The sequence below is a fragment of the Homo sapiens genome, chromosome 10 (assembly GCF_000001405.40).
Source record: "Homo sapiens chromosome 10, GRCh38.p14 Primary Assembly".
Taxonomy (NCBI): domain Eukaryota; kingdom Metazoa; phylum Chordata; class Mammalia; order Primates; family Hominidae; genus Homo; species Homo sapiens.
In genome coordinates, this window is record NC_000010.11 from 60910524 (window position 1) to 60923781 (window position 13258).

Genomic DNA, 13258 nt, shown 5'->3' on the forward strand with positions numbered 1-13258 from the left:
GGTGACCAAGTGCCAAAATAACTTAAAACATTCTAACAGAAGGCAAGTGAAGTGTTACTCAGAGAACCAGCAATCAAAGCAGCCCGCAGTTGGAGGGTGTTACAGAATCCTAATCTAGCAAACCTTCCAGCTTGACCACTGGTTGTTTTCAACACAGTACTTCCTCATTGGCAGGGCACGCTTCTTTTCTTGACATCAGGAAACAATACCATTTTTTTTTCTTTTCCTTTTCTTAGACACAGTGCAGAACCCAGCACATTTCAAGGCCATATGATGTGGTTTTTGTTGATTTGTAAACCCGCTGCTGGTTTTGAAAAGGAAATTGCATTCAAGCTCAACCACGCTGTACTAGTCTTGGTTTACCTGCCATATGCAAAGCGTCTGTCTTTGTGATGATCACCAAAAGTATCCCAAAGCCTGAGAGAAACACTCACTTCATCAACAACATCCCGAGAACGCTCCAAGACCTGCAGGAGAGAGAGAGAGCATCTGTGCTCGGTGTCAGTCAGAAGTTCCCCAGGAGAAGCGTGTTCAAGTCAGCACCCTCAGTGCCATCAATTCACTTGCATTAAGTTTCCTTATTCTATCTGACGGGATTTAAGCTAAGTCTTAATTCCCTTCCTGGAATCATCTGTCTCAACCCTCATTCAGGATACCAGAGCCACAGTCTCCGGTTTGCATTTTGCTTTTGTTTTCTCTCGTGGCACTAAAAAGGTTAGTTTTGTTTTGAATGTGTAATTTATCCACGCTCCTCCTTTAGAAAAAATCAGACTGGCAACCAGCAATGATGTGCCCTAGGGATGCTGAAGACACTCTGTGCATCTTACCTCCTGGCACACGCGGTACTGGTCAATCGCCCACACTGTTGGCACGTGGGTGGCCAGCAGCTGATACTGCGTGAGTGTGGTGTTGCACGCCCTGGCACAGATCAAGCGCGTCTTCCCCACGGCATTGTCACCCACGACCACACATTTGATAGTTTCAACGTTGGGTCTTTCGTAGTCCATGTCAGCGTCCATTTATGAAACTCTGTAAGAAGAGAGTGAACACCACAGTAAGGACACCAAGGCTTTCCAGAGCAATCAAAGACGTAAGAGGTTCAGGGAGTTTTGCCTTCGTCCAGCCACTTCCTTGGAGGTGCACAAGCACAGGAAAGAATGTTTGGAAGTTCGTACTAAGCCTAATTGACACTCAAGTTTTCTTTTTATATCTCACACAAGTACAAAAACATGGGACTGTTATTTTGACCCCAAACAGTTTATTCCCGTTAACTGTTATTTTCTCCTTGGTTTTCTCTAAACACAACCTGCCTACTGGAGCTCCATTCAGCCACTGTCGGGACAGCTGGCACACATTTATAGCCTACTGGATACTCACGTTGGCCTGCTAGCAAGTCCGGTCACCTGTAGGGCTGAACTTCAACATTGGGCAATAGGTAGCCTTGGCAATGCTAGCATCTACTTCATCACAAGATCGCTCATTAGCCAATATCTGTTGTTGAAAAGCAGTTTTCTATAGGTTCAAAACTGTTATGGGGACTTAGAGAATAATCAAAAGTGCAGGCTGAAAGACTACCTGATGTCAAAGAAGAGTAAACTGCTAAGTCTAAATTTAATCAAATTAACTTATATTTATTTGTATTAATCAAATTCATAATTCATAAATATATATGTGTGTGTGTATATATATGTGTATATATATACACACACACATATATATATGTATATGGAATCTCACGCTGTCACCCAGGCTACAGCACAAGCACAGTGGTGCAATCTCCACTCACTGCAACTTCTGCCTCCTGGGTTCAAGCGATTCGCCTGGCTCAGCCTCCTGAGTAGCTGGCATTACAGGTGCCCACCACCATGCCCGGCTAATTTTTATATTTTTAGTAGAGATGGGGTTTTACCATGTTGGCCAGCTGGTCTCAAACTCCTTATCTCAAGTGATCTCCCCACCTTGGCCTCCCAAAGTGCTGGAATTATAGGCATGAGCCACCATGCCTAGCCTTAAAAAAGATATTCTTGAGGGCCCACAATAAAGCAAGATTCAAAAAAATTATCTTCTGTGTTTTCATCAAGAAATCTGGAACATATGGCAAAGAATAATTTTACCAGGAGAGTTACTTTGGAATCTTCCTGAGACCATCCAAGAAGGTTTAAACAGGGCTGCTGATGAGAGGCCAAGAGGAAGAAAAAAAGCACCTGCCAGCTTGGTCTCCCCAGGGACAGGACCCTCCACAAACAGGGGTGCAGGCTGCTTACCAGTAGCAGCTGGACAGGAGGCCAGCCATGTATGATTTTAAGATTTTAATTAATTGTAATTGCCTTTTTGAGGGAGTCTATTGTTAAACTAATAAGAACAGATGCTACACTTGATCTTAGCCAAAAGGCTGACAAGCAATGGAAGTCCATTGTTAAACTGAGAAAAGTGGGTGGGCGGTCATTTTTAAGGAGTCAGTAATGATTTTAATGGCTATGGTAAAGAAACTGTTCAGAGTAAAGCCTAATACATAATTGGGACTCAAGTGTTTGTTTAATTCATCTGATTGAGAAAAATGATAACTTGGATAATGAGATTAAGGGCATTGACAAGGATATATAGAAAGAATATTAAGAAGAATTCTTTTTCACAGTTAGGACTATTGGAACATGGACTGTCTCAGAAGTGAAGGGTATGGAACTGTCGACTGTAACGCCATCACAGGAGGTGTTAAAGCTGAGGCTGGAGAACGATTTGGCAGGAATGGAGTAGAGTGATTCAAGGAACAGATATGTGCTTAGGTTAGGATTAGATCTGTAATTCCTACACTGTGGAGAGGCTCAAAACAGTCAGATACCTGTCCACCTGACACATACTTATCCTGAACATCCTGGGTGGGGAAAAAGAGTCTTTAAAAATCTCCAATTCTGATGATCGGCCAGGCATGGTGACTCCTAAAATTGATTTCTTGAAAATTCAGTTTTAAACTTCTATGGTTTTCTTAGTTACCCATCTAACAGTATAACATAGCAAAAGCATGAATTTGGTGTTAGATTGGTAGGTCCTAAACAAATCCCAGGGAACACTGCAGTGTCTGGAAACGTGTCTGGTTGTCACTTGGTGGGGGGTTGAGGAGGGAGTTCTGCTTCTAGTGGGTAGAAGATCAGAGACACTGCTGCTATGCACAAGACAACACCCCACAACAAAGAATTACCCAGCCCCAAATGTTACAGGGCTGAGGTTGTGAAACCCTGCCTTAGAAGGATGTGAGTTTGAATCCTAGCTCCCCCATTTTCCAGTCATTGGACTTTGGGCAAGTTGTTTGTACTTTCTGAGCCTCAGTCTCCTCATCTGTTAAGTGGGTATCATAAAAATACTCATCTCCTAAGGTTGTTGTGAGGATTACGTGAACTGATGAATTAAGTCCTCAGTGCCGTAACTGACACACTGATGGTTTCAAAAATTATAATCATGATGCTGAAGACGAATGTCTTCAGATGACAACAAAATTGAGTCAGGAGGAAGGCCAGAATTAGATGCAAACTCATAAACCTAATAATGACAAAGATCTATAAAAAGGATACAACTTGGAAGAATTAACCAAGCAGTAACTCACTGAAAATTAAAGAATACAGAAACAAGATGTGGTGTAGCTGATCTTAAGCAAAGAAGACAGAAAAAGTTTTGGGTGTGGAGGGGGCAGGGAGGAGGTCACAGTTAATGAGAAGATAATAGAGTTGGAAAGATGGGTTAAAAATGCTTGTCTGAGGCATTTCTCAATTCCAGAATAAAAATAGTAATACCTAACCCTCTTCGACAAGTTTCTGGTTACATTAGCATGGGGTAGTAGCCTGAATCAGAAACACAGGTTCTAGTTGGAGTCTCCCAACTTTGGAAATGGAGGTTCATTACTTTAAATGTCCTCAGTGGTGGGAAACCTTACTCTTTTAAGGGTGAATTTTTTTTATTTATTTATTTTTGATAGATAAATGTCATATAGAGCCAATCCCTAAAATTTGGGAGAATGTTTAGACTTAGTAAAAATGGAGAATGGGACACTAATAATGCAGAATTAGTTTTCTGGTAGGCTTGCAAACTAGCCCTGATAGCAGCCCCCAAGAAGGAATCCCCCAAATAAGCTGAATCATAGCAGCACTGACGGAATGGCTGTGTCGCTTTCACTGAAGATTACTTTGAGAGTAACAGGAGCCCTTCTAGTTTTGTATTAAGGCTATGATTACAAAAACTATCATTGCTTCACTTATTTTTAGACACATTTCATGAGTAGTCCTAAGAAGAATTTCTGTGTCAAAGGTGAGAATAACATCTATGGGTCCTCTAATCCCTAGCAGTCCGCTCCAGACCAAAGTGACTGCCAAAGGTGCTGACCCTTGTGCAAAAGGGATAATATGTAAGGGAAAATAAAAGGCAGGGCAGAGTTAAATATTCAGGGCCCAGATCACTTGCTCCAGATGTGGAATTTCCAGGAAGCATTCACTGAATTCCCAAATACTGAAAATCTTTTATTTGGAGTAGAAATTTCTCTTGTGGTTCTCTAAAAAGCATTTTAAGAATGTGAAATCACAGCCAAGGATGGAAACTCATGCTACAGTTGCATTGTTGTAAATCATTTGTTCATTTGTTACACATAAAGAAACATTAAATTATGGTAGTAATTATAAAAATATGCAATTTTATCCTTCTCCGCTTGTTATAGGCTCTAATTTATTCATATCTAGCATTCTGATGGTTGAGTGTACTCTTAGGACCATCTGGATAATGACTGTCTGGTTTCTGATTTTTATTTACGTAGAATGAGAGTAATAAGTATTATTCATTTAACACTATTAATAAATGTCATCACTATAAATCCTGCTGATCGATGTGGAGACCCTCTCATACTTAGATACATACCTGAGGAGACAAGGAAGGTAGAAAGAAAAAAAAAAGAAAAGCCTGAAAGAATGGACACTGGTAATCTGCTACTATGGCAGCTCTGTCATCTTACTCAAAACTGACTTGAACGTTATTTCATATTTTCACCAGTACCCGATGAATCCACTTGCACAGTATTCAGAAGTCAGAAGGGACAAGCTTATTTGAAAAATTGTTAAATAAACAAGACAGTGCAGGTGGGGAAGTGAAGGGCATGGTGGAGTGGTTCTGGTCCCCACCACTCACAAGGCTGACCTAGAAAAGCGTGATCATGCTCTTCATGGTCTACAGAATCACCCCATCTGGTCTGATCATCCTATACCTGCCCGCTATTATTGCTGTCATCTCCTGGACTTCAAGCCACTCCTCCACACTCCCTGCCCACACAGCGTTCTTGGGCCTACAGGATGGTGCAGCCCACATCCTAGTCTCACCATTTCTTCTCTCCTTCAGTGCCAGTGATCTTTACCACATTTTACTTGAGCCATCCATCCTTTTGGACACGTGCTGGATATTGTTGTCATCCAGAAACATTTTGCCTCTGAAATCTCAAATTTCAAAATTCCACTCTCAGAAAAAAAACTCCTACCTTTACAGCCTGTGCTGGATGAAATAAGGCCACGGCAGCAACTCCCATCAGGAGGTGAAATCTATTTCCCTTCCTCTTGAATTAATGCTAAGCTTCTGACTGCTTCGCCCAAAAGAATGTGGTGGAGGTGATGCTGTGTGAGGTCTAGAGTCTAGGTCTCCAGAGGCCCTGCAGTTCCACCTTCTTCCTGTTGGAATGCTGCCACAAATCCGCCATGTGAGGAAAGTGGCCTAGCCCAGCAGGGATGAGAATTCACATTGAAAACCGCTGAGGCAGCCCTGCCAATGGCTGTCACCAAGTGCTGGATAATGCAAAGCCATCTTGGACCTTCCAGCTCAGCCAATCCTACAGCTGAATGTAGTTTATGAATGAGCCCAGGTGAAACCAGCAGTGGAATCACCAGCCAACCCTCAGAATCATGAGAAATCATAAATCATTACTGTTTTAAGCCACCAAGTTTTGGGTTTATGAACCAATAGTCAACAGAAACATACCCATTAATACCTTAGGGAAATCTCCAGTACCTTCACTCCTCTATTTATTTTTAAATGTCAGATGATAGGTCCCTTTTGAATGGATGATCTTTTCCACCTAGGGATGATGGGTCATGCCAACTTTTCTCTTTACAGTCGCCCTCAATTTCTTGCATTGCATATGTGGTATGCAGAATAATAGCCTCCCTGAATACGTCCACGGAATCCGCGGAACTTGTGAATATGTTCCATTGTGTGGCATGAGGGAATAGGGTTGCAGATGGAATTAAGGTTGTTAGTCAGCCGACCTTAATATAAGCAGATTATCCTGGACTATCTATGTGGGTGCAACGCAATCACGATGGTCCTTTAAATGCGGAAGAGGTAGGCAGGAAGTCAGAGTCAGAGAGAAATATGAAGTTGCTATACTGCTGGCTTTGAAGATGAAGGAAGGGGCTGCAAGCCAGGTAATGTATGTGACCCACAGAAGCTAGAAGAGGTAAGGCAACAGATTCTCCCCTAAGGCCCCCAAAGTAACACAGCCTGCCAACACTTCAAGCTCAGTGAGACCCATGTCAGACCTTTGATTTTCAGAACTATAAGAAAATAAACTTTGTTTTATGCTACTAAGTTTTGACGTTTGTTACAGCAGCAATAAGAAACTAACGTAGCACACTTTAGCCACACAAAATGGCTTTCTCAAATTCTAAATGTTGTTTGTTACCTTTATATACACCTTTCCTTCTTGCCAACTCTCCTCCATTCCTTGTCTGCCTGGCAAATTCTATTCATTCTTTAAAACCTTATTCAGATATCCTACTGTGGCAGCTCTGTCACAAAAGCTTTCCTAACTATCCTCTAAAAAGCTTTTCTAACTACCCCCTTAGTCAGCTTCAGCTGCCATAACAAAATACCATAGACTAGGTGGCTTAGCCAACAGAAATTCATTTCTCACAGTTCTGGAGGCTGGAAGTCTGACAGCAGGGTGCTGGTGTGGCTAGGTTCTGGTGAGGGCTCTCTTCCTGGCTTGTAGGCAGCTGTCTTCTTGTGGTGTCCTCACATGACAGGCAGAGACACAAAGCTCTGGTGTCTCTTCCTCTTCCTAAAAGGGCACTAATCTCATCATGGGGCTCCACCCTCATGGCTTTATCCAAACCTAATTACCTCTCCAACAGCCCGCCTCTTAATACAATCACATTGGGGGTTAGGGCTTCAACATATGAATTGGGGGAGGGGGCAGACATTCACCCTGTAGCACTATCTCTGTGCCTATACACACGCCACTCCTTCTTACCAACCCTCCTCCATTCCTTGTCTGTCTTGCAAATTCTAGTCATTCCTTAAAACCTTACTCAGACATCACCTCCCCTGGAAAGATTTCCTAACTAACCCTCCACCTCATAAACTAATTTACTTTTTTCTCTGTATCAATAAAGAGTTCTAGCAGAAGCAATTACAAACAAAAACAAATGTACACGCATCCATACACACATTTTTTTCTTATATTAACAAATCATGGAATGGTAGCTTGTGAATCTGTGTGCATGTGTGTGTGGTTATACCTTCAAAGTGCCCATTTCATACACTGAACGAATCATCAAGTGTTTGTGGGGCATAGCTATTTGCTACAGTGCTGGGAATATATGCTTATACAACACCCCTTTTCTGCAAAGCCTTTCTTGACTACCCCTCTGGTCCAAAGGTCCCCTAATTTAATGGTGACTCTCTCTGAGGGCAACCCATTGGAAAAATAGGGACAGAGCCAAATGTGACCTTAGTTAGCCTGGTCTCCTCTTCAAATCATTTCCCTTCCTTTGGTGGTACCCCAACCCAACCTTCAGTCTTTGCCTTGATGACCTTCATGGTGTTCTGTCCCTCTCTTATGAAAGAGACTCCCAGGAAGTTCTGCGCATGCCCACTCCCTCACTCACAAGACACCTAGAAGACCTCTGGAGTTCTGCCCCCATAACTCAATAACTCAGGGCACTGTGGCTGATGTACTTGTTTGCTCAGACAGGCGCACTTCAGTGTAGGGCCACTAATTGATTTCAGGCAAGCGTGCAAGACTCCTCTAACATTAGAAATTCAGAAATTAAGATGAGTGGGTAGGAAGAGAGTTATCACTTGTCTAAGAAACCCCACTAGGGGTCTCCTAATTGCTGTGAATCATCCCGCCATTGGAATATGCTGCATCTTATCACTTACACTATGTCTCTTGTTATATTTGCATTTCTTTTCTTTTCTTTTTCTTTTTTTTTTTTGAGATGGAGTTTCACTCTTGTTGCCAGGCTGGAGTGCAATAGCGCAATCTTGGCTCACCACAAACCTCCACCTCCTGGGTTCAAGCAATTCTCCTGACTCAGCCTCCCGAGTAGCTGGGATTATAGGCATCTGCCATCAGGCCTGGCTACTTTTTTATTTTTAGTAGAGATGGGGTTTCTCCATGTTGATCAGGCTGGTCTCAAACTCCTGACCTCAGGTGATTCACCCACCTCGGCCTCCCAAAGTGCTGCGATTACAGGCATGAGCCAACATGCCTGGCCCTATATTTGCTATTTCTATCAAGGCATGGTGAGCAGTCTGCTTAAAGACAAAAATTGAAGGCCCATGGAGGGACCTTTGTAGTCTTATCTCCATTTAGCTGTTCACAGACAGTCTGAATGATGCTATTGCACGGACACTACATTTTCTTATTCCTCCCAAAAGCATATAATCTGAACTTTAAGAAGTAATTTAGCTCAGCCATTAAAAAATACTAGTGCAACAAATTTTAGTGTATTCAAAGAGTTAGCCCTGAAATAAAAAACTGACAATTTTATATTATTGACAGGAAAAAAGGAAAATGTTAAAAGTTGCATAATAACTATAGCCAACAGCCAAGTTTCGATTGTGCAGATTTCATTATTCTGAGCTTTTAATCAGCAGTTGTAGGTAGGTGGGAGCTGTTTCATACATAAAATAAACATCTCAGCTGGAATAAAGAATAGACCCAGAGCCGGGAAAGAGATGCAAGGGCTGGGCTGGACTTCCCTGAATCAAAACTTCACAGAATTATATCTCCAGGATAACATTGCCTTCCACCATTTAAATCAACAGAATTCATTGTTGTAATCAACATTATTTTTTCAATGGACTGTTTTGATTAAAAAAGAAAAGAGTAAGTAACAGAAAGGATGCTGCATAGAAGTCTATGGATGCAAATACTACAGAACCACCTGCTGATATGAAAGAAGCACTTTTTACTACATCCGCTCATGATTCTCACCAGGGCTCTCTGACAGTGGAGACCCACAGAAGATCGTGCTCTCTATGCTTTTAAAACTCAAGATCAGTGGGGGAGATGAACCAAGATTAGAAACCAACCTTCTTTTCTACCTTATGTGCTGTTCTTAATAAACATTGCCCTCATTGAAAAAATAAAGACTTCATTTATTTCTTGAAAAAATAAACCAAAAATTTAAAAGATGCATGAAAATTCCAGGGCAGATTTCAAAACCACCATAAGTGAACTGTGTGCTGGGTTCAGACACATGGGTCTACTTTCTTCTACAAATACACCAGGGAACCTCTCCTTTGACAATTTGCCTATGTCATTACTTCTGCACAAAGGCCCTTTCCTCGTGCCCTTAACTCACCTGCTGAAATTTTCTCACTAAGGCAGTCTTAATTTAAAAATTACATGCTAAGCACTGAATGAGTGCCAGGCCTATAGGTGTACAGTGAAAAGCAAGCCAGCGGTGGTTCACAGTCAGGTGGAAAGAAACAAGTAAACAGGTAGACAAATACATCATCACAAATTTGGGGGGTCCTTGAAAAAAACCAAAGGATGTCGAGAAAAAATAATGGATGGGAAGCCTGAAGGGCAGACTGGGTGACCTGTCTGAAGAGGCCTCATTCCTGCCATCTGGAGAATGAGAAGGGCCCGTTCAAGAGATGGGAGAGGAAACAGGCCTGAAGAGCCCGAGGGATAGGAAGTGGGGAAGCCGGAAGGTTAGAAAGGTAGGTGGGGATAGATCATACTCAGCCTTTCAGGCCATAGTCAGGAGTTTGGATCTTATTCTAAATGCAGTGAAAAGCCACTGCAGTGTTTAAGCAGAAGTGTGGTAGGTTCTGATTTGCTTTTTTTTTTTTTTTAAGTTTTGTTTTGTTTTGTTTTGTTTTGTTTTGAGTCAAAGCTTGCTCTGTCACCCAGGCTAGAGTGCAGTGGCACAATCTCGGCTCACTGCAACCCCTACCTCCACCTCTCGGCTCAGGCCATCCTCTCACCTCAGCCTCTTGAGTAGCTGGGACTACAGGCATGTGCCACCATGCCCGGCTAATTTTTTGTATTTTTGGTAAAGATGGGGGTCTCACTTTGCTATCCAGGGTGGTCTTGAACTCCTGAGCTCAAGCGATCCTCCCACCTTGGCCTCCCAAAATGCTGGGATTACAGGACTGATTTGTTTTTTTTTTGTTTTTTTTTTTTTATGAGACAGTGTCTCGCCTTGTTGCCCAAGCTGGAGTGCAATCACATGATAGCTCACTGCGACCTCTGCCTCCTGGGTTCAAGTGATTCTCTGCCTCAGCCTCCTGAGTAGCTGGGATTACTGGCACCCACCATCATGCCTGGCTAATTTTTGTATTTTTGTAGAGATGGAGTTTCACCATGTTGGCCATGCTGGTCTTGAACTCTTGATCTCAGGTGATCCTCCTTCCTTGGCCTCCCAAAGTGCTGGGATTACCAGCATGAGCCACCATGCCTGATCCTGATTTGCTCTTTAAAGGAATCCCCAATATCACTGAGACTGCTGTATGTACAGAGAACATGTCATGAGGGCAGGGGTGCAATGGCAGAGGAATGGTGAGGAAGCCCTAAGTTCTCCAGGAGAGAAAGGATGGTGCCTCTGACAGGCAGAATCAGCAGAGATGCGGCCAAGTACAGATTCAAGTTACATTCTGGAAGAAGACACACTGCAAACATCCTTCCTTTACACTGTCTTTAAGAGGGTTTATCAAATTCTGATTTGTAATACTGATTATTATGTTTATATGCATTCCACTTCCACCCCACTGAGATTATAAATTTTTGGCAACAGAAATTGTTATTCATCTTTAAATCCTCAAATCTTGTCACAGTGCCTGGCCTATAGGCAGCTTTCAATAAACGTTTGTTGAATTGAATATAAAAATACAGCCACTCCACCTTTCTTAGAAAACCTTCCACCTGGGGCTGGCAGAGAACTTGCATGCAGCTATCTCTGGTGACTGATCATTAAGCCCTGTGGCCTTGAAAGCAGCAGCGTGTGGCTAAGCCTGCAGTTGGTGAGAGAAACACCTTGAGGGACATCTGTGTGGCCCATCACAAGAGCAGTGTTTGACAGATGGCATTGCACCAACCATTGCTCCCTAACAGGAAGTGCATCAGTAACCATGGGAGCCACCAGAGACCAAAGGCCACACCCTTTCACCAAATGGGAAGGTGGTGGTGGGGAGGAGAGCCCCAGTAATTGCAGGCAGGAGGGGCATAGGATTGGATTGGATTTAGAAAAACAAATGAGTGCTTGTTTATTTTGTTCTAGTTTCTAGAGCCGATTTATAAATGTTAATAATATTTATATATAAGGGTCTCATAAAGTTCTCATCCACTTTTAGACTTAAACATCCTAATTCAAGGGATTCTCAGCGCTTTTTGGTGAGTCACTACTTCGCTGGAAAAGAAAGGAAAAAAGGGAGGCACACGTACCCATTACATATGGATAATGATTTATAACTAATATGAAAGTGAGTCTTGAATAAACGAGTTCACTCTATGCCCAAAAGAGCCACACCACAAAATGCAATTAGCTGCACTTCAAGGCAAGATGGCAATGAAGGCACTGATGCCTTGAACCCTCCTTTACCATCATCTCATTGCAAGTAGCCTTAGTCTGTATGGAGCCTCTACAACAGTACCAGAAACTAAGGGTGAAAAGTAACCACATACCAGAAACTGGAAGGATTTCCGCCAAATTCACTTCCATGGAGCCAAATGATAACACCACTGATGACCAGCAGACTGCCATGTCCACGGGGAAAAGAATTGGCCCAGGAAGTAGGGAGACATTCTTCACCACAGATGCCCATAATCTGGAGTAATGAGAGCCACACTGACTTGGGACCAAGGTGAAGAGAGAAGGGTGGAGGAAGAAGGTTTCCCAGTGGCTCCAATAGGAAACCAGCCTGCTGCTATCAGCATGGAGTGAGCTTGCTGACCATCCCTTGCTGAGGATGGACCAGGTAGAGAGAACAAAGTATGGAAAAAGATTCTCTCTGTTCTGCTTTTGCTTCCTCCAGCCCACTCAACCAGACCCTTTCAGTTTTGACCCTATGATAGAACTGATTGATCTTCTGGGGTTAATCCAAGAAGGAGTCAGGTGAGGGGGTGCTGCCTCTTAAGACTGAACATTAGTATAACTTCCATGGTCACATTCCTCACTGTTGTCCTTAATTCACCCTCAAAGGTTCTCTCAACTCACATTATATTGAGTAGCTTTGCTTGTCTGCTCTGGAACTGGGTGACTTCCTGGGATGCTATCATAGAGCCCTACCTTGATCTTTCACAGAGCCTATGGTTATCCAAGTATTTGGAATATACTTCAATCCTTGGCCTTTGTGAATCCTTTTGTGTATGGATAGTGTAAACAGAGACCATTCAACATATGACCTATTAAAAACCTTGAAGCATAGACATGTACAAGCAATTACCTAAAGGCACAGAAAACAGGTGTTCCACTTAGATAAACATGCTATATAAAACAGCAGAAAAAAACTTCAAACATCTGATTCATGTACTTAACCATGTAAAAGAAGATAATGTACATTTATAAACTAATAGCAGATGAAATTATAAGTAGTTAATGAGACAAGATAAAGACCAAGTACAAATGAAATATAAGGTCACCAAATTGAAAGCCGTGCTGGCAACAGTACATAGTAGACTTGAAAATGTTGTAAAATTAATTAGTGAGGTACAGGTCAAGCCTAAGAAGTTCTCTCTAAATACAGAAGTAAAGACAATCTTTCTTTGTCTTTACTCATGATTGACCAAAGACAATAAAGAGACTGACTGTCAAAATGCAATCTCTTGAATAGTATGCGATATGGTTTGGTTGTGTCTCCATCCAAATCTCATCCTGAATTGTAGCTCCCCTAATTCCCATGTGTTGTGAGAGGGACCCAGTGGGAAATAATTGAATCATGGGGGTGGTTTACTCCATACTGTTCTCGGGATAGTGACTAAGTCTCACAAGATCAAGATCTG

General features: G+C 42.4%; 1 protein-coding gene and 1 pseudogene across 55 annotated transcripts in view; both read right to left on the bottom strand.

Annotated features, from left to right (window-relative positions):
• RHOBTB1 (Rho related BTB domain containing 1) overlaps positions 1-13258 on the bottom strand; it is a 141108-nt gene that overhangs the window by 49664 nt on the left and 78186 nt on the right. For 54 of the 55 annotated variants that reach the window (XR_007062022.1, XR_007062020.1, XR_007062021.1 and 51 more), the window contains 2 exons: positions 828-1029; positions 364-467 (listed from right to left, as the gene is read on the bottom strand). Coding sequence is in view for 46 of the 55 variants with exons in the window: in XM_047426080.1 (XP_047282036.1) it covers positions 364-467; positions 828-1019 (296 nt within the window). In the remaining 9 variants the exon portion in view is untranslated. The remainder of the gene's footprint in view (positions 1-363; positions 468-827; positions 1030-13258) is intronic. The other variant, NM_001350910.2, reaches the window with a different exon arrangement.
• RNU2-72P (RNA, U2 small nuclear 72, pseudogene) lies at positions 2242-2404 on the bottom strand (annotated as a pseudogene).